The sequence below is a fragment of the Homo sapiens genome, chromosome 1 (genome assembly GCF_000001405.40).
Source record: "Homo sapiens chromosome 1, GRCh38.p14 Primary Assembly".
Classification (NCBI taxonomy): domain Eukaryota; kingdom Metazoa; phylum Chordata; class Mammalia; order Primates; family Hominidae; genus Homo; species Homo sapiens.
The window spans coordinates 69,450,400-69,472,958 of NC_000001.11; the positions used below are offsets into that span (position 1 = coordinate 69,450,400).

The window sequence follows — 22,559 nt, forward strand, 5'->3', positions numbered from 1 at the left end:
TACGGTATGTCAGCACTATGTTACCCATTGATCTAATAGTGTAAGTTTTAGCATCTGTATTTTTGAGATAAGAAAACCAAGGCTCAGAAAGTTTAAGAAACACGCCTAAGATCACACATGTAGTAAGCTGAAGAGCTTTGAGTTAAATCCTGGTCAGTCTCCTGCACTTGTGCTCATAACACAACCCTAACTATATTTCCCACTTTTCATACACAAATACATTACCCCGAGCATTTTACATATACTATCGTATTTGATCCTTACAATAACCTACAATAATCTCGTAAGGTAGGTATTATATTCTTCATCTTACAAATGAGAAAACTGAGATTCTGGAAAATTAGTTTATTTCCTAGAATTCAAACAGCCAATACATGATAGAGTTGGAATTTGAACCAGGACCCACTGATGTCAATCTTAATCCTAAATTCTAAACTGTCTTCTGCATGGATTTTTCTGCTGTAGCACTTTTTTTCGTTTTTGGCTGTGGACTATTTGGAGTGTGGAGAGGAAGCCATAACAGACTCACCAGGTTTTAAGATGTTTTCTTCTGGTAGATAAAGGACTTTGAATGCCCCTAATTTACAAGCCATTATCCATTTTATACTGCTAAACAATTTCTTGTTTTCCCTGGCCTTGGAGTAGAAGAAAGACCCTAAATCTACATCTAATTGATTCGTTGGGCACCTAGTTCTTATTCCATGAAACATTTTTGGAAGGATTATTGATTCAAGTGTGAGCTGATTTTTAATTAGTTTATCTCTTTCTTATAATAAAATTTATATTTAAATTGATCAGCAGGCAGGTAAATAACTCATGGCAGGTACACATGCACTTAAATTCTCAATCAATGTCTGACATTTTGGCTTTGATAGAAACCCTATATTCAGTGATTTGTTGAGACACACTAAGGTTTCTAAAGGGGAGAAGCCCATACTCTCAGGCAACAGCCGGTAAGGTAAACACAGGGGGCTGGTGCTAATCCCCAGGAAGGGAAGGAGAACTGAATCCCCAGCCTGGCCTGGCCCTGATGCAAGCAGCCAGGCCTCACCACACTGCAACTACCCATTAGAGCAGATACCCCAGAGAAAAGGCAGCTGCATATTGGCATCCTAGCTAATTTCCTTACCAAAGCAGTAGGCTTATGAAAAAAATAATAGGAACAGTGACGCCTTTCACAGTTAATAGTTATAAAGGCTTTTCCTTGTAGCTGTGCTTCTCAAGTTCCATGGGCATATATCTTGGAGATATGTATGTACTCCAGAGGTTGGCACAGCTTCTTAGACTATCAATTCTATTCTGTTTTAAGTAATGTAAAACATTATTTCATATTAAGTCATACATAGGTATATTACGAAGTAGACTGAAAAATAAGCATAAAATTTCAAGATAAAACTACAACTTCAAAGAAACATCTCTAAGTTTTACCTGTAAGTTGTTTCAGTTAACTTGAATTATTCATTCAGAACCTTAAGGGGGTGGCTTTCACTCTCTTTTCCCATTGGAGGTACTTATGAAGAAAGTTTGGAATGCATTGATACATAGTTCATTTAAAGTTTATAAATCAGAAAAATTCTTTTATAATTTTACTAAGTCAGAATGATTTTTATGGTTGTAGGCTAGGCATTCTAAGATTTGCAAGATATATCTATAATTCTTGCCTTTCCCACCATCCACTTTAAAACCACTCAAAACTCTGGGTATTTCCTGGAGCATATGGGAAATAAGTGAGTGTTCTAAGAACTTGAAAGAACCCACCAAACTCTACCTTTGTGCTTTCCGTGAATGTTGCATTAGCACTCATTGACCATTAATTGTCTTTTTTTTTAACCTCTCGGAATAGCTGTTTGTTGTGACTCAGTAAACTGTTTTGGATGGCATAAGTGATCAGTTGATATTTTAGATAACCAATGGCTCACTTTTTCAAACTTCAGTTCATAAGAATCTATAATTAGCAGTAATTCTGCCAACATTCCCTAGTTTCTTTCGTAACTTGATCTCATAATTATATCTTATGTGGTACTTCGTCATTCTAGCCTAAATGTTTTATCATATTTCTCATTTGCAACTTCTCTTCTAAAACACATCTTCAAAGGACAGCTCTTTCCTTCAGTGGGTGCAATAGCACATAGCATTTGGGAATGGTATTATGGAATGATTTAACGTATGCCCTCTGATGCCTGTAGACCTGGGTTTTATTCCCAGCTCTACCGCTGACAAGCAAATTGTTTAACTTTTCTAGAATCAATTTCTTAGTAGTATAATGAATACAATATCCTCATGAAACACACAAGCATGGCACATGTATACATATGTAACTAACCTGCACATTGTGCACATGTACCCTAAAACTTAAAGTATAATAATAATTAAAAAAATAACATGCTAAAAAAATTAAATAAAACAATCACTTAAAAAGCACTCTGTTCTTAACTTAGAACGTGATCAAAAAATGATAGTCATATTTATTATTGTTGATATTATTTTTAATATTCACGTGTAATATTAAAACTTCAAAAACCTTATTTTTACAATGCAATAAAGTTTTACAAAGTTGTCCCATTGTAGGCAGACCTATGCCAACCTACTTGTAAAAGTCCAAGGAAGCTGAGAGGACAAATAATGTGGCTGACATATACAGTTCCTCAGAAAGAAACATATAAACATATAATGGGCATTTACAATCAGAAGCCATGTCTGTTTCTTAGGGAGCAGCAAAACAGGATGGTGAGTCTGCATGCTATTGTGGCCCAGACCCAAGGAAAGAATATATGTGCTTCAGAAGGGGTGTATAGGACAGTTGCTTAAAGGTAGGATTAATTGTAAGTATGATAACATCAAAGTTGTCTTTACCCAAGGGCAGGATTCACAGTAAGTACATGCTCTTACACAAGGAAGAGTAGATATAGCAGAAATCTTAGAGGGCTTCTCCAAACCAGTGTTAATCAGAAGTCAACATGATGGATTAGTATCCAAGATGGAGTTGCTTTAGCCTTCACAAAAGTAGCTACTTAGGTCAAGACATCAGCACACTTAAAACCTTGCTCATGCCTCCATTCAGTCATTAAACGTCTCAAGGAAATGATATTTTTACTTCTATCATCATGCTATGGCTTGAATGTCCCCTCCAAAATTCATGCTGAAATTTAATTGCCATTGTAATAGTGTTGAGAGATGGGACCTTTAAGAGATGATTAGGTCATAAAGGCTCTGTCCTCATGAATGGATTTATGCTGTTATTGCAGGGGTAGGTTAGTTTTCTTGAGAGTAATTTCATGATAAAAGGAAGAAGTCTGGCCTTCATCCTCTCTGACTCATGTACTTGCTTGCCCTTCTGCTTTCCACCATGGAATGATGCAGCATGAAGGCCTTTGCCAGAATTAGGTGCCATGCTCTTGAACCCCTCAGCCTCCATAACTGTGAGCCAAATAAACTTCTATTGTTTATACATTAGTTAGTCTTTGATATTCTCTTACAGCAGCTGAAAATGGACTAAAAACAGAAAATCAGTACTGAGAATAAGATTGTTGCCATTAAGAAAACAAAACAAAAGGTAAACCTGAAAATGTGGAAGTGGCTTTGCAACTGGAAAGTGGATAGAGGCTGGGAGAATTTGGAGGAGCAAGCTAGAAATAGGCTAGATTTCTGGTGAGTGGAGCTTTAAGGGCAATTCTGGTGAGGGCTTACAAGAAGAGAAGAACTGTAGGAAGAGTCTGAAACTTCTTAGAGGTTACTTAAGTGGTCATGACCAGAATGTTGGTAGAAATATTGACAGAGAAACCATTCCAATGTGGTCTCAGTTGGGAATGAGGAAGAAGATACTGGAAATTGGAGTAAAGGTATTCTTGTCATACAGTTGCAAAGAACTTGGCAGAATTGTGTCCATGTCTTTGGACTTCATGAAATGCAGAACTTAAGAGTAATGAACTAGGATATCTGGTGGAAGAAATATCTAAGGAGCAAAGCACTCTGGCTACTGTGTGGCTACTTGTGAACACATGCAATGAAATGTGAGAGAAAATAAATGACTTAGTGATGAAACTTATAATTGAAAGAGAAGCAGAATAAAAAGATTTGGAAAATCTGCATTCTGGACACGTGAAAAGTAAAAAGGCATGTTTGAGAGAAAATACTAAGAGTATGGCCAAGTAATAGTTTGCTAAAGAGAATCATATGGATAGAAGGGAGCTAGGCACTGTTCATCAGAACCATGGGAGAAAGACTCCAAAGGCATTTAGATCTTGGAGGCCATCTCTCCCATCACAGGTCCAGAGCTCTAGGAGGGCAGAATGTTTTGGGAGAATGGGCTTGGGGCACCCTCTGTGGACTCACTACCCAAGGCTGCCTCAGGATTCTTCTTCCTGCATCCCAGCACCATGCCCCTTAGGCACCCCCAGCCATGGCTCAAGCAGGCCCAGGTATACTTCAACCCACTACTCTGGAGGTTACAAGCTATAAATATTGGTGGTGTCCATGTGGTGCTAATTCTGCAGTAATGCAGAATGCAAGACCTGTGCAGGCATGGCTACTTTCACCCTATATTTCAAAGGATGCTGTGGACAGCCTAGGGGCCCAGAGAGTCTTCTTATAGAGATGGAGCCACTGCAGAGACCTCCTACCCTACTAGGGCAATGCTGAGTGGAAATGTGAGGTAGGAGTCACCACAGAGAGTTTCCACTAAGGCAATTCCTAATAGAGCTGTGGGAGTGGGGCCATCACTAAGACCTCAGAACTGTAGAGCAACAAGTGTGCAATGCCAACCTGAGAGAGCTGCAGGCACTAGACTCCAATGGAGAGAGCTGAAACATGGGCTGAGCCCAGAAAAGCCACAGGGACATGACTGCCTGAGGTCTTGGAGGCCCAACGGCAGTAACGGTGTGCCCAGGATGTAGGACATGAAGTCAAAGGAAATTATTCTGGAGTGTTAAGATAGTGGTGTTCCCTGTGGAGTTTTGGACTTTGTTGGAATCAATTACCCTTTCTTCTTGCTTATTTCTCCCTTTTGGAATGGAGTTGTCTGTCCTGCACCTGTTTCACGACTGGATTTGGAAGCACTTAAATTGTTAATTTCACAGTCTCACAGCTGGAGAGTAGTTTGCCTCAGGATTAATTGATCCTTCAGTCTCACTTATGTCTGATTCAGATGAGACTCTGGATTTTGGACTTTTGAGTTGATGCTGGAACTAGTTGACACTGGGGCTACTGGTATAGAATGAGAGTCTTTTCTATGTGAGAAGGACATGGGTTTTGGGGGGCCATGGAAGGAATGCTATCATTTGAATGTCACTTCCAAAATTAATGTTGAAATTTAAGTGCCATTGAAACAGTGAAACAGATGTCAGACCTTTAAGAGGTGATTAGGTCATAAGCTCTGCCCTCATGAATGGGTTAATGCTGTTGTTGTGGGAATGGGTTAGTTATCATAAGAGTAAGTTCTTGATAAAAAGAATGATTTTTGAACTTCATCCTCTTCCTGTCTCGTGTTCACTTCCCCTGCTGCCTTCCTCCGTGGGATGACATAGCACAAAATGCATTGCCAGATGTTGGCACCATGCTCTTGGAATTCCCAGTTGAGCCGAATAAACTTCTATTGTTTATAAATTACCTAGTCTGTGGTATTCTGTTATAGCAGCAGCAGACAGGCTAAGACACATGATAAATTAATTTTTGTCTGTTTGTAATTTACATGCATACAGTGAGATTACATGTACTCTTCTGTGTCTGACTTCCTTCTCTCAATATTTTATTGTGATTCCTTCATGTTGTTGCCTACAGCAGCAATTTTTTCATTTTTATTTCTGCACTGCATCAATATAAAATATTTTCATTCATTCTTTCGTTGATATTTATTCTACCATTAAATGTTGATAACATTTATTTCTAGTTTCGAACTAATGTGCTAATGCTGCTGTGAACATTCTTATACGTCTTTTGTTCTCATTTTTGTTAGGTTTATACTTTGTTTGGAATTGCAGGACTATGAAATGCATATCTTTGGCTTTAGTAGATACTACAAAACACTTTTCTAAAGTAGTTGATGTAATTTACACTTGTACTAGCAATGTATGATAGAGTTGCTGTTGCTCCACACCTTCATCAACAGTTGGTATTATCAATTTTTAAAATTTTGCAGTTTGAGTATGAAATGGCCTCTGACTGAGGCTATAATTTGTATTTTCCTTATGATTAGTGAGGTTGAACACCTTTCAATATGCTTATAGTCAATAGGATATATTCATTTTGTTTAAATATTTCACTAATATTTCTATAGTATCTACTGTCTTTTTTATGACAATACAAATTTTGTGCATACCATGGATTTTAGTTCTTTATAACGTATCTGTATTTCAAATATTCCTATTTATTATGTGGCTGGAGTGTTCATTCTGCTAATGGAGATTTTGATGAACAGATTTTTAAAAATGTTAATGAAGTCCAATTTTCTATCTTTTCCTTTGTGATGAATTTTTTTTCGTGTTTTTAAAATATTTGCTTATCTCAAGGCCACAACATTTTTTTAGTGGTATCTTCTAGAAGATTTACTGTGTTAAATTTCACAGTTGGGTGTAAAAATCATATCTTTATATATGTGAATTAGAAGTTAAGGTTCTTTTTTCTCCTTTAATTATACCAATCAATCTAGCATCAGGTATTTAAAACACCATCATATTTTCTTCACTGCATTGCAGTGTCAACTTGTTGTAAAGTGACCATATGTAAGTGGGTTTGTTTCTGAGCTTTCTGTTTCATCAGTCTATTTATCACTCCTTGCACAGTACTATACTGTTTTAAATGTACTAACTCTGTACTAAGTTTGTATACCTGATAGTATAAATCCTAGCTCAACTTTGTTCTTTAAAATATTGTCTTCACTATTCTTGGGCTTTTAGGTTTCCATAAACATTTTGAAATTGGCTTGTCAGTTTTTAACACCCCACCTCAAAAAATGTCTTGGGCTTTTAATTGGGATTGTATTGAATCTAAATTTTTGTAGCCTTAAAACATTTGATATAGGCAAATATTTTACAAATATAAATATTTTTTATAAATAAACCTATTTCTTCTTGGGAGGAAATAACATCTTTACAATACTGAATTTACTAATCTATGGATATTCAATATTCTGTCATTTATTTAGGTCTTCGATTCAAAAAGAGATTGTTCATTCTCTCTTTTGTCTTGGTCAGTTTTGCTAAGAAGTCAGTATTTTATTTGTTTTTACAAACAATCAACTTTTTGGGCCTCCTTTGCTGTATGTATGTTTTTATTTCATTGAAGTCTACTATATTGCATTATTTGCTTTATGACACATTTTGTGATATTTTCTGTTCTTTTTGTTGCTTTTTGAGACAGGTGATTATAATCATTGATTTTCAGCTTTCTTATTTTCTAATTTATGGGTTTATATCTAAACATATATCTCTAGCTGTTCTTCATGTTTTGATAAGTCAAATTCAAATAATTTATTCTGAATATTTTCAAATTTTTATTTTTAAATAACCCATAAGTTACTTACAAGTGTGTAGCTTAACTTCAAATCATTTGGAGATTTTCTAGCTATCTTTTTTATTATTCCATACTAGCTTAAGTTCTCTGTAGTCAGCAAATTCTCAGAATTATCGTGAGATTTGCTTTATGGCATAGTAATCTATCACTTTTGGCAAATGTTCCATGCGTAATATGGTTTGGCTCTGTGTCCCCACCCAAATCTCATCTAGAATTGTAATCCACAGGTGTTGAGGGAGGGACCTGGTTGGGGGTGATTGGATTGGGGAGCAGTTTTCCTCAGCTGTTCTCCTGATAGTGAGTGAGCTTTCACGAGATTTGTTTGATGAGTACTTGGCATTTCCTCTGTGCTCTTTCTCTCTCCTGTCACCTGTGAAGAAGGTGCTTGCTTCCTTTTGCCTTCCACCATGTTTGTAAGTTTCCTGAGGCCTCCCCAGCCATGCAGAACTGTGAGTCAATTAAAACCTCTTTTGTTTATAAACTATCCAGTCTCAGGTAGTATCTTTATAGTAGTGTGAGAATGGACTAATACGATGAGTATTTGAATACAATGTGTTTTCTTCATTCATTGATGCTGTGTTTTAAACATGTGAATTAGAACATTTTGTAAATTATGGTGTCTACCTCTCACTAACTTTTTGGTCTGTTTTTTTCCTCTCAGTTACTGACAGAGGTATGATCAAATCTCTGGCTGTAATTATAGGTTTTCCTGTTTCTCCTATAATTCTGCCAGTTTTTGCTATGGATATTTTGGATCCATGTAATTAATTGCATACAGATTATGAATAGTATGTTTCTATTGAATTAACACTTTTATTATTGTGAAAAGTATCTTTTGTCCCTGGTAATATCTTCTTACATTGAAGTCTAAGCCGTCTTCTATTAGTATAGCTCTCTGGCTTTCTCTTAATCATGGATTTTATAGTGTATCTTTTTCCATCATTTTACTTTCAATCTTTATCTGTCTTTATGTTTTACACTCTAATATTAAAATCTTTCTTTTTAATTGGATGTTTAGTTTATATGCATAATGAAAATACTAATTTATTTTGATTTTAATTTATCATATTATTTTTTGTTCTTTGTTCCATCTCTTCTTTTTTTTCCTATTACTGTCTTATCCTCTATTTGTTGGATCAAGCATGTTTCAGTATTTGTCTCCCTATTAAGCTTGTTAGTTACACTCTCTTTTACTGTCCTAATTGTTTCCTTAGAGGTAACAATAAATATTAAATTAGTACAATAAATGTACTAATTTAAGGTAGAATGTTCCTTAATTTTCCATTTTGTAACGTTTTTAGAACAAAACACTTTTTACTTCACATCCAACTTCTACCCTATTTTTACCATGCATTGTAGTCATACATACTATGAAACTACTCAAGACAGATAATTAGTAAACCAATTATGAACTGATTGTTTCTCAGCCCCAAACCCAACCCTGTTTGCCTGCTTTTCTCAAATTCAATAGCACCCTCTGAATGTTTCCCTTGCCATCTGGAGTAATGCTAGACTTTGTCAATAGAGGACACTGTGATGACAATAGATGACAATAACAGCAAGGAGACACTCTTTCTGGCTGGGGTATTCCATGTTTTTAGTTAGCATACCCTGCAAAGCTCACAGACCAGTTTCAACCAAACCTTCAGGACTTGCTCTCCTCACCCAATGGCCATTTCCAAGTGCACCATTTTCTCTGTTTTGGCAGCCATGGCTGAACCCATTTCTCCCCACCTTACGGCAGGTTCTGAGAAGGTCCACTGCAGTGCTTGCCTGGCAGCTCTGGCCACACCCTCAGGCAACCACCTTCCCGCTTGGAGGGTTTTTTCCATATGTCAACTCTAGCCTGCCCACATGTCCCAGCACTGGCAGGACATTTCTAAAGATCATTCCTGCCCTATTACCTCTGGCATCTTGCTTCACAGCTGTTAGGCAGCATTTGCTGTGGTACCCATGCTCTCTTTAAAGAAGTCTGCATCTCACCTTTGGGGTGGGGAAGCTGTCTCTTGAGTTCTCAGTTTTTTAATTTTATTTTCTATATTCTCTCAACCTAGAAATATCAGCTGTTTTATGTTTGTTTTGTATGCACATACTACTAATGGACCCCTTTAAGTCTTTACTGTCCTTTTTAGTAGTTAGTTATCTTTGAAATGTACAATTCTTCACATCACATTTTCTTTGTTCTAATAACTGGTTTGGTTTCTGTCTCCTGACTAATATACTCAAAATTTGTGTTTCCATAATTTAGCATTTCCGATGCTTTTTTCCTTTCTGCATTTCTGTGATTCCATCTGAGAGCATTTTCTTTTTGTCTAAAGAGTACTCTTTAGTGTTTTTATAGTGCATGTCTGCTGACAATAAATTATTTAAATCTTTGTCTAAAATGACTTAATTTTACATTACTTAATAATTAATAATTTTGCTTTGTGTAGAATCTGAGGTAGGCAGTTACTTCTCTTCAGCACTTTAATGGTGCCATTTCTTATTTTTGGTTTTACCATTTCTATTGATGAGTCAACTGTCATTCCCGTTGATGTTCCTTTGAAAATAATACATCTTTTCTGTTTGTTCTTGCAGAAAAAGTTGTAGATTTCCTTTGTGTTTTTAAGCAGATTTTACCATTATGTGCCTAGAAATGGTTTTCTTCACACTTTTTCTTAGAATTCACAAAAATTCTTGAATCACACTGACTTGACATGGTTCATTAGTTTTGGCAAATTCTCAACCACTATTTTTTCAACTATTGCCTTTTCCCCAGTTCCTTTTCGTCTTCCTACTGTGACTCCAATTATATTTATATTAAATCTTTTCATGCCTTTTTCATTCATGTAATTTTATTTTTGTCTGTGCATCAACTTGCAGACTTTTTATTGACCTGTCTTCTAATTTACTATTATTCTCTCCTATAAGGTCTAATTAGTTGCTCAAATAAATATACAAAGTTTTTTATTTTCCATTATTAATTTCTCATATACAGTATTTTCATTTTTTTTTTACGTAGGCCAGTTGTCTCCACATTTTCCTCCGTTTCTGTGAACACAGCAACATGCTGTAATGTCCTGTTTCACAACTTCAATATCTGGATCACACATAGATTTATTTCTATCGCAAACTTTCTTCATCATTTGCTCTTGCTTCCTGTTAATTCTTGATTAAGCAACAGAAGTTTTATAAAATTTACAAATATATATTTATATTGCTACCGTGTTTCGATTTTTGTTGTTTTATTTTTATAATTTTTGAAGTATTTTCTAAATAAAATATAGATTCTAGGCTGGTCTTGGTGGCTCACTCCTGTAATCCCAGCACTTTGGGAGGTCGAGGTGGGTGAATCACGAGGTCAAGAGTTTGAGACCAGCCTGGCCAACATGGTGAAACCCTGTCTCTACTAGAAATGCAAAAAATTAGTGTAGTGGTGGGTGCCTGTAATCTCAGCTACTCAGGAGGCTGAGGCAGGAGAATCGCTTGAACCCGGGAGACGGAGGTTGCAGTGAGCTGAGATTGTGCCACTGCACTCCATCCCTGGCGAGAGTGAGACTCCATCTCAAAAAAAATATATATATATATACACACACACATTATATATACACACATATATACACATATATATATTCTATATCTAAAGAAAAGTAAAGTTCACTCTGACAGGAGTTTTTCTGCATGTCTATCTTTTTATAGGGCCTAATTCTAGAATTACAGTTTCTAATTAAAGTCATTATTATAAACCACTACATGTTTATTACTGGTCTTTTCACTTCATTCTGATATCTTCTAATATCTTTTTATGGAAAAGTATATGTAATGTATTTTTGGAAAGATTATACAAAAGTAATATGAAATAAATATCATCTTTATTAAGGGAGTGGGTCACATTTGGAAGACATTTACTTTTGTCTTTAGGCATTCATAATATAAACCTAGAACAAATAATTGTTTCTGAAATGTAACAATTGCTATTAAAACAAAGAAGAATATACCAAGCATTTAAAATATTTATAGACCTTGTAAAGTCACACATAGATCACAGCTAGACATTTAATTTCTGGATATATGTCATCATCACTTAATGTTTTAAAGCCAGAGAATTTCATATTGAAAAAATATTTGTGGAGGAAAAAAAAATCTTTAAGCAGACCGGGCGCGGTGGCTCACGCCTGTAATCCCAGCACTTTGGGAGGCCGAGGCGGGCGGATCACGAGGTCAGGAGATCGAGACCATCCTGGCTAACACGGTGAAACCCCGTCTCTACTAAAAATACAAAAAATTAGCCGGGCGTGGTAGCGGGCGCCTGTAGTCCCAGCTACTCGGGAGGCTGAGGCAGGAGAATGGCGTGAACCCGGGAGGCGGAGCTTGCAGTGAGCCGAGATCGCGCCACTGCACTCCAGCCTGGGCGACAGAGCGAGACTCCGTCTCAAAAAAAAAAAAAAAAAAAAAAAATCTTTAAGCAGTGGTGTAGGTACATGACTATGGGCAAAGACAGGGAAAAAAATTACAGATGATACAAAGGAGAAAATTACATATAACAAAAGGTAATATTTCCAAGGAATTTTATATTCCACCATGTGGAAAAATTGTATTTGTATAAGTCATATCTAAATATAACATAACAAGTCAGTATGGTGAGAAAGGTTATTAAAATAGAATTGCCTGGACCTGAGTGTTAACAGGCAACAGAGACAGACTACAAATTTCAGTCTGGAGGAAGGTATTTTCTTCCTATATTTTAATCCTCTATCTGCACCTCCTGAGGGTATAAATAAGCAACATTTTTCATAAGCAATACTGTCTGCCTAGGTTAATTCACCCTGGGACCACTGCTATATAATAATTTTGATGCCTACTCTCTCCTATGGCCCAATACTTGAACAGTCATGTTTACATAATAACTTATAGAAGTGGAGCTACTCCAAATATCTCAGTTTTCAAACATTGGACATTGATCCATATGGCTTCAGGGATAATGAACTCAGATCTCAAAGGATCTCCATATTTTTAGTAACAATACTGTTAATTATGCAATGGGATAAATATAAATAAAATCAATCTTCTTGTTTTTCTATGTTCGACTAAAGACCATTATGTGTATGATGGTCTGCGTTAACAAGATGGGGTGTCAGAATATTGACTGCTAACTTTAGGACCTATGAAATGTTGAACTTTGATGAAAGGAAGAGTAGATAATTATGCAGTAGGAACTCAACATGGCTTGTTAAACAAATCTTTGATGTTTTTTGTCAAAATTCAATACAAAGCATTGAACACTACAGACTGAAGTTCCTGGATTTCTAGAGAGATTTCAGTTGAAAAAATTATCACAATACAATTAGAGAATTGTTTGATTTTTATTAAAAATCACATTTAATAGAAATTATTTTGTAAGTTTAGGAAAACAGGAAAATGACAAACCCAAAACACTTCATTTTATATTTAATTTTTATTTTAAATTCTGGGGTACATGTGAAGGTTTGTTATATAGGTAAACATGTGCCATGGTGGGTGGCTGCACCTATCAACCCATCACTTAGGTATTAAGTCCAGCATGCATTATCTATTTTGCCTAATGCTCTCTCTCCCCCAACCCTACCCACCAACAGTTCCCAGTGTGTGTTGTTCCCCTGCTGTGTCCATGTGTTCTCATTGTTCAGTTGTCACTTCTAAGTGAGAACATGCAGTGTTTGGTTGTCTGTTCTTGTGTTAGTTTGCTGAGGATAAAGGCTTCCTGCTTCATCCATGTCCCTGCAAAGGACATGATCTTGTTCCTTTTTATGGCTGCATAGTATTCCATGGTAAATATGTACCACATTTTCTTTACCCAGTCATCATTGATGTGCATTTGGGTTGATTCTATGTTTTTGCTACTGTGAATAGTGCTGCAATGAACATACGCTGCAATTAACCTACAATGATTTATATTCCTTTGAGTATATGCCCAGTAATGGGATTACTGGGTCAAATGGTAGTTCTGGTTTTAAATCTTTGAGGAATCACCACACCATCTTCCACAATGGTTGGAATTTACATCTGCATTTCCACCAACAGTGTAAAAGCATTCCTATTTCTCCACAACCTCACCAGCATCTGTTATTTCTTGACTTTTTAATAATTGCCATTCTGACTGACACAAGATGGTATCTCATTGCTGTTTTGATTTGCATTTCTCTAATGATCAGTGATGTTGAGCTTTTTTTCATATTTTTTAGCTGCATAAATGTCTTCTCTTAACAAGTGTCTGTTCATGTCCTTTGCCCACTTTTTAATGGGATCATTTGTTTCTGGTAAATTTGTTTAAGTTTCTTATAGATTTTGTGTATTAAATCTTCATCAGATGGATAGACTGCAAAAATTTTCTCCCATTCGGTAGGTTGCCTGTTTGTTCTGATGATAGTTGTTTTTGCTGTGCAGAAGTTAAATTCTATCCCATTTGTCAATTTTGGCTTTTGTTGCAATTGTTTTTGGTGATTTAGTCATGAAGTCTTTGCCCATGCCTATGTCCTAAATGGTATTGCCTAGATTTTATTCTAGGGGTTTTATAGTTTTGAATTTTCCATTTAAGTCTTTAATTCATCTTGATTTAATTTTTTTATAAAGTATAAGGAAGGGGGCCAGTTTCAGTGTTCTGCATATGGCTATCAAGTTCTCTCAGCACCATTTATTAAATAGGGAATCCTTTCCCCATTGCTTGTGTTTGTCAGATTTGTTAAAGATAAAATGGTTGTAGATGTGTGGTCTTATTTCTGAGTTTTCTATATCCATTGGCCTATGTGTCTGTCTTTGTACCAGTACCATACTGTTTTGGTTATTGTAGCCTTGTAGTATAGCTTGAAGTCTGGTAGCATGATGCCTCCAGCTTTGTTCTTTTTGCATAGGATTGTTTTGGCTATATGAGCTCTTTTTTTGGTTCCATATGAATTTTAAAATAATTTTTTTCTAATTCTTTGAAGAATGTCAATGGTAGTTTTAATGGCTATAGCATTGAATCTATAAATTACTTTGGGCAGTATGGCCATTTTCATATTGATTCTTCCTATCCATTAGCATGAAATATTTTTCCATTTGTTTGTGTCCTCTCTGATTTCTTTGAGCAGTGGTTTGTAGTTCTTCTTGAAGAGGTCCTTCACTTCCCTTGTTAGCTGTATTCCTGGATATTTTATTATTCTCTTTGTAGCAATTGTGAATGGGAGTTGACTCATGATTTGACTCTCTGCTTGCCTGTTGTTGGTGTACAAGAATGCTTGTGACTTATCCACAATGATTTTGTATCCCAAGACTTTGCTGAAGTTGCTTATCAGCTTAAAAAGCATTTGGGATGAGAGGATGGGGTTTTCTAAATATAGGATCATGTTATTTGAATGCCCTTTGTTTCTTTCTCTTGCCTGATTTCCCTGGCCAGAAGTCTCAATACTATGTTGATTAGGAGTGGTGACAGAAGTCATCTTTGTCTTGTGCTGGCAAAACATTTTATTTATTTATTTATTTATTTATTTATTTATTTATTTATTTATTGAGATGGAGTCTCACTCTGTCACCCAGGCTGCAGTGTAGTGGCATGATCTCGGTTCACTGCAACCTCTGCCTCCCAGGTTCAAGCAATTCTCCTGCCTCAGCCTCCTGAGTAGCTGGGTTACAGGCATGCACCACCACACCCAGTTAATTTTTGTATTTTTAGTAGAGATGGGGTTTCACCATGTTGGTCAGGCTGGTCTCAAATTCCTGACCTCAGGTGATCCACCCACCTCGGCCTCCCAAAGTGCTGGGATTACAGGCATGAGCCACAACGCCTGGCCAAAACACTTTATTTTAAATACTTTGGTTTAGATCTTCAAAAGTCATTTTCTGCTTACCAATAAATTTTTTTTTCTGTATTTGGTCACCAATCAAGCTTTCATTAGTTTTAAGAAATGTATAGCTTATATTACAAAAGCATTGCAATGTTTCTGGAAAAAAAATTGATGACACTCTCAGTGAACATTTCCACTTGAAAATTCTCTGAAAAAGCTTGCAATGTTAGTTTCATTTCATCCAGACCTATTTTGTTCAAGAAACTCTGCTAGCCACAGGGAGTACAAAGATAAGTAATAGAGATTTCCCGCCGTTAAGAGATAAGACACAAATTTGCAGGAGGATGTGCTATGCTAGTTTAAATATGGATTTCAGCCTGGTTTTCTAACTGAACTTTCAGCTTCCTAAGGGAAAAAAAAATCAGATATTTGATCATATTATGGGTCAAAACATAGTAATGAATTAAAATGAATGTCAATACAAGCTATTTTATTTTTTATTTATCATACTTACAAAAATTTTATATAGGTGAAATCATGAAATAACCTCTTCTTTATAAAAATAAGAAAATATGGCCCTGAGATAAAGTAAGTCACAAAGCATTTCCAAAATCTTTTTTTGTCAAAGCATTAGTTGTGTAAGATTTTTTTAATAAGAAGAGTTATAAAAACAATTTTGTGGGGCTGGGCACAGTGGCTCATGCCTGTTAGCCCAGCACTTTGGGAGGCCAAGGCAGGAGGATCAGTTGAGGCCAGGAGTTTGCGACCAGCCTGGGAAACATAGTGAGACCCTGTCTCTCCAAAAAAAAAAAAAGAAAAAAAATGTTTTGAAAATTTTCTGGGCTTGGTAGTGCATGGCTGTAGTCTCAACTACTCGGGAAGCTAAGGTAAGAGAATTGCTTGAGTCCAGAAGTTTGAGTCTACAATGAGTTATGATTATACCACTGCATTCCAGCCTAGGTGACACGGTGAGACCCTGTCTCAAAAATAATTAAAATAATTTTGTGAAATTTCCATCTGTGAAGAATCCCTATATATAGTACATTAAAATTTTTGCAAGATCATCTGATTTAAAAATTCTATTTCAGTTTGTTTAGCCTAGCTTTTCCCAAATTTATTTAACCACAGATCCTCCTTTGTGAAATACACACAAAAAAATGAATTGTGACAATGCAAAAAGAGCAATATCAAAATTTTTATTCTCAAGCCTAGATGCTTTTTCCTAAGTACACTTGCCTGGCCAAGTGATGATAAAAGAGTAAAGTTAATGTCCTCAAGTGGAGATTGTGTCCATGGCATGAGTCTTGTAAGGCAACTGACTAAAAAGTGAAACACTGACCAGAATGCAGAAAGGAGCTATGTAGGAGAAAACATCAAAAGTTTCTGGAAAAAGTCTATGTCATGCTTAACAGCAAGGGCTCTGGATCCAGATTGCTTGTATTCGAATGAACTTCAGGCATATGAGCAGTGGGACACTGAAATTTTCACTCAATCTTTGCAGGCCTTAATTTTCCTGTATGTAAAATAGAAACAGAGATTAGCACCATCATGTATTATGATCACTAAATTATTTAATATGATTCAGGCACAGTGTATGGCACCTAAGAAACAGCATTTAAGTTTATAAATAAATAATCCTTGAAGGTTTTTTTCTTTTCAAGTCTCCTACTTGATGAATTGTTTTCTTCTAATTGGGAAATTCCATTTTTCTTAAAAAGTCAAGTTCACTGGACTAACACCCATCGATACCATATTTGGGAAATGTTTAAAAATGTATTTCTGGAGTGAATAGAGTGAATGGAAAAAAGGAAATACTTCTTTATATATGCTAGCCAAATCTTTAGTGCATGTTCATACCCAATACCTTGGGGCATATTCACTGGAGAAAACCAGCCAACCTCCTGTAATAAGAACATCAAATTATTTCCTGTATTGGTCCCTGTTGCCTCCAAATGCTTGCTTGTAGGCCTTGGTTACACAATGTTAATAATAATAGTATGTTTACTCAGTGCTTACCATGTGCTGTGTGCTCTTCTTAGGGGTTCGTATGTCATTTTTCAATAAATCCCTACAACAATCCTGTGCATGGGATATTGTTATCCCCATTTTACAGATGAGAAAATAATGAGAGATGTCTTCTTGCTACTAAATTTAAAGTTTCATAATTTAAAAAATATTCCAAATGTTTTCAGTTTTTAACATAGAAAATAACTATTAAATAAGAACCTTTTTAAAATATAGAATTGTTGGGGACAATAATCATAGCTTACAGGTGGATATTCACAATTTTTCTGTTATACACCAAGAAGACCATGGATACTCACCCAAACTTACGAGATTGCTATTATTATTCCATGTTACTGTAAAACAAACTGAAGTTCAGTGAGGCTAACTCACTTTGTCTATGTTCACAATAAAAATGATTTATCTTCTTTAAAATAGGCTAAAATTTTTGAACATAAACTACAGATACTTTTATCACCAAAGCTAGAGAAAGAACTGTTAGCAGCAGAGTAGGTTTGTAAGAGATTATTGAACAAAGGAAGGTGCTCCAGTGCTGAGCTAGAAAAGTAAGACATAACTCAGATCAAGCTTTAGTGGGATTTTTTATTACTACTCATTTTTACTGCAAAGGCTGATTATGGATTTATATATCTTATCAAGAACAAAGCATAAGGAAGTTACTTTAATATGTGTTAAAAAGGCAAACAGAAGATGAACATTTAAATATTTCAGTATTTCCAATACAGGTACATGTCCACCTCTGAACTGAGCATAGGTATTTGAACCACTGTTGCAATTATAGGAATGGTCAAGAGAAAACTCACAAAGATTTCTTACTATCTCTGATCTTAGCCTGTTTTGTGTTATTACAAAAGAATACATGAGACAGGTAATTTATAAAGAAAAGAGGTTTATTTCACTCACAATTTTTCAGGCTGGGAAGTTCAAGGGCATAGGCCTGACTTCTGGCAAGAGCTTTTGTGCTGCATTATCACACGGTGGAGAATCTCAAAGACGAAGCAGACAGGTGTGAAGACATCACATGGCAAGACAGGATGCAAGAGAGTGAAACCGAAGAGGCCAGACACTTTTTAATAACCTACTTTCTCAAGAACTAATCCATCCCCATGAGTGAGCAAGAACTCACTCACCCCAGCAGGAGGTTATTAATGTACTCGTGAGGGATCCCTCCATGACCTAAAAAACTCCGACTAGGCTCCACCTCCCAATACAACCACGCTTGGGGATGAAATTTCAACATGAGTTTCAGGGGAAACAAACAAATCATATCCAAACCATAGCAGTATCCATTTATATCTGGTTTCCTTAATAAAATGACATGGAGCACCCTCCAAATAGCATAAATATGCATACCCTAGTTATGTGCATATTTTCAATTCACTGAACAACCTTCAGTTTCAACAAAGAAACTGTTTATTTTTTATTTGTTTATTTTTCTCTGTACAAAAAGCTTGCTGTGAGTCTGTCTCCCCCAGGAGAAAAATAAATAAATTTCATGACTTTGTAATTGTCATCTTAAAAACTTTCTTGCCTTCATTTAGTTATTTAAGAAAAAAATCTTTGCAATGCATCAAGTACTGTTTATGTCATTGTAAAGGCTGGAAAAACATCAACTAATTGTCAGGGAAAAATTCAGTTTATATTCAAAGTTTCCAACATTAAATATTGTGAAAATGCAAAGAAGCCCTTCTACTTTCACTTCTCACTTGTAGGATTTAGATCTACTGTCTAAAATATGATAAAATATTGGGTGACAAATTTCCTTTGAATACAAGGTGTGGAAACTAAAAAAAAAATGTGATTCAGTTCTCTCTTGTAACCTAGATATAAATAATGCCTGGATTAAAATTCTTAGCACATTCAGAGAACTTCAAGTAGTTCATGGTGGCCATAATGTGTAGGTTAGAATCCTGGGCTCTAGCGGTAGGCTAGCTTGTTTTTGAATCCCACCCAGCTATGCCACTAACTGGTTTCATGACTATGAGCCATCAACTTTACTTTTCTTAATCTCAATTTTTTCTTATGTAAAATTGTAGTAATTATAACAATAAATTAATTATAAAATATATGTTTAAATTATTTATGTATTAATTTCCAATATAAAAGAATGTTATTACAATAAAGCTTTGATGAGATAATGAATGTAATCTACACATCATGCATTGTAAATGGTAGCCAGTATTACTTCTTCGGCTAGATGAAAAATCGTATTCGAACTGGAGGGGTCATACCCACAGCTTGAAAATCTGTTATTCCATGTAAGGATTTCAGATTTCATACTGTGGTAGACAATGAACAATCACTAAAGAATTTTACCCAGAAGACTACTATGTTGCATTTTGCATTCTAAATGATCATTCTGCTTGCTATATGAGGGATGCACTGGGGGGCACAATAAGGAAAACAGTTACAAGACTATTCAAATGGTCCATGAGAGAAATGATAATTGCTTGAACTAAGTCAACCACAGAAAAAACAGAGCAAAATGTATGAGATTATGAGAAGCTAGAAGTAATGGAACATAGTTACTAATATATGCTGCAATGTGGGAAAGGAGTGAATCAAGAATGACACCCAATTTCCCAAGGGATGACTTTTATCAAATACAATAGTATTTTTACAAATACAATAGTAGACCCCGGTAAGGGAATGTTGGGAGTGTGGGGAGGATGTAAGGAGGGCTAAGTGAATGGAAGAAGGTTAATTTTGAAGAAGTAGAGTTTGAGTTATCTCTGGAACATAAAAATCACAGGTATTTATTATGCAATTTGTTACACTGGTTTTAATTTGGAGTTCAGAACATTCATGAGTCACCTACACATAATAGGTAGATTAAGTTATGAGACTGTATGTGATTGCTTATACAGACTAGATAGATTAATGAGAAGAGATCTGGAATTGAACATAAAGAAACATCAAAATATAAAATATAGGTAGAAGAAATAGTACTTAAAATGCAGACTGGGAAGGCAGAGCTAGGTAGTACAAGGGAAATAAGGAGATACTAATGCCAATGAAACAAAAGTGGAAATGTATCAAGAAAAGCAAGTGGTAAACCATGACAAACGTTGCAGGTATAAGTAAAATAACCTTAGGACAAAATAAATGTCATATGATTTGGCAATTGAGTCATTTGGGATGTTTATAGACGAGTTTCATTGCAGTGGAAAGACTGTAATCACATAGCCAAAGGTTGAAGTAAAATGAAAAGTTCTGGTAGATTGTCTTTTTCCAAAAGTGGACACAGCAATATTGCTGATCCCAAATCTTTCAGAACCTTGCTACACACCATCATAGGTGGAGGCTGTTTCCCATTTCCTTGAACCTAGGTAGGGCTTTGTGACTGCCTTAATGAACAGAACGCAGCAAAAATGATGCTGTGTGACTTCCAAGTCTAGATCATAAAAGGAAATAAATGTTTTGTGCATCTCCTCCCGTATTCCCTGACACCCCTCTCTCATTCTTGAAACCCACTATCCACGTTTTAAGAAAGTTCAGACCACATGGAGAGTACATGTATAGATATTCTGGCCAACAGACTTAGCTATCATTTCAGTTGTAATCCCAGCACCAACTGCTTAAGTGAGCAAGCCTTTGAATGATTTTCATACCTACCCTTTCAGCTGCTCTAGCTGATACATTGAAAATAGACATAAGCTGTCCCTGTGGAGTCCTTCTCAAGTTGCAGATTAAATATTCTAGATGTTATAGGCCACTAAGTTTGGAGCCATATTTCACATAGCCATACTAGTACAGAAGCAAAGGAGAAGAAACCATAAATATAAATTATCCATTGAAAAGCCTTAGCACAGAAGAATTGCAGGATGAAAAGAAACTAATAACCAGATGAGCATAGAGTCAAGAATGTTGAGGAATCTTTAGAATTTTGTTATTAAAATAAGGTCAACATGAACCCTAGAAGATGTAACATGAAAATGCATGTTAGAAAGAGGAAAGAATCATTGGTGTAAATTCTATTTCCTGGTGGATGCAAGGGATATCACATAGAGAGCATACGAAATGTGATAGTTTTGAATAGGGAAACTGACATTTGTACATAAATAGATGCTTACAGATGTGGACACACGAAGTTAAAGAAGATCATTCTCAATATTCTAAGTTGTCTCTATGAAATCAGAGGCAAATCATCTGCACTGAAAAAGAAGTAGTGACGTAAATGGTAGGGGGAAGGGGTATGGTGTGCAGAGTAGTAGATTTTTTTAAATAAGGGAGCATGTAGAAGAAAAACAAAAGAAGGAGATAATCAATAATAATTTTAAAAAATTGCTAGGCTCAATTGAAGCTAGAGACCATAGTTTTTAGTGGCAAAATCCTATCAGCTGTATCATTTCATTTTTAATAATGCTTAGTACCTCAGATGCCTGATGATATAAGCGTTACATAAATATAGCAGCTCACTGATTTGTCCTTCTTTAAACTTTCTGCAGAGAGGCACTATACTTAGCTAAGAGTTCTTGGATATGGAGCTGAGTCCAGCAATGTCAAGGAACAACTCACAAGCTGTAGGGTTCAGAGCTACAGGATATAACTGGAGTGTCTGTCTAATTCAGCAGTTACTCTCCCTTTCCTGACAAATACCTCCTTAACAGCATCCCCCAATACAGGCAGCTTTTTGCCTCCAGGAAATTTATTCTATTACCTACTCCTTATTCTAGGTACTTACTACTTACTTCTTTCAGAGCTGATTAGTGCAAAGCGAATACTTGACTCTACTGCACCAATCATATTGTCTCTGAGGGAATTTGGCATTGGGATAAAAACAGATTCAGTTCATTTCTTCCTTCCCAAAACTTTAATGATTAAATTCAGAGGCTTTAAAATACCTATATGTGAAATATTTAAAGCTACATATATGGTGATAAATAAAACTAAATTACAGAGAGAAACAAAACCAAGAAATTGATAAAGAATATTGCCTAGGTTTCTAAAGATTTTTCTATTACCATATCTTGATTTTTTAACTGAGTTTTTGCCTACAGGATATAGATAGACTGATAATATAGATATGGAGATAAGTGTGGATACAGGCATAGATATAGAGATAGATAGTTGATGTAAGAGATTGTCTTACAAGTATGTAGCCAGAATCAAGAATATAAAAGAAATTATAGAAGAGACTCCAAACTGAAACTCAGGCATTGAGACAGAAATCAGAAAGATCCAAAAGAAGAGTAACCAGTGAAAAAAAAAAAAAAAGTGGGAGATTTCTCTTAGAATCCTTAGAATTCC

The 22,559-nt window shown here is 35.7% G+C and overlaps 1 long non-coding RNA gene across 4 annotated transcripts in view; it reads left to right on the forward strand.

Annotated features, from left to right (window-relative positions):
* The first annotated feature begins 2,501 nt into the window (after window positions 1-2,501).
* LOC105378789 (uncharacterized) overlaps window positions 2,502-22,559 on the forward strand; it is a 112,950-nt gene continuing 92,892 nt past the window's right edge. For all 4 annotated transcript variants that reach the window (XR_001738106.2, XR_947488.3, XR_007066166.1 and 1 more), the window contains exon 1: window positions 2,502-3,419. This is a non-coding gene — a long non-coding RNA (uncharacterized LOC105378789). The remainder of the gene's footprint in view (window positions 3,420-22,559) is intronic.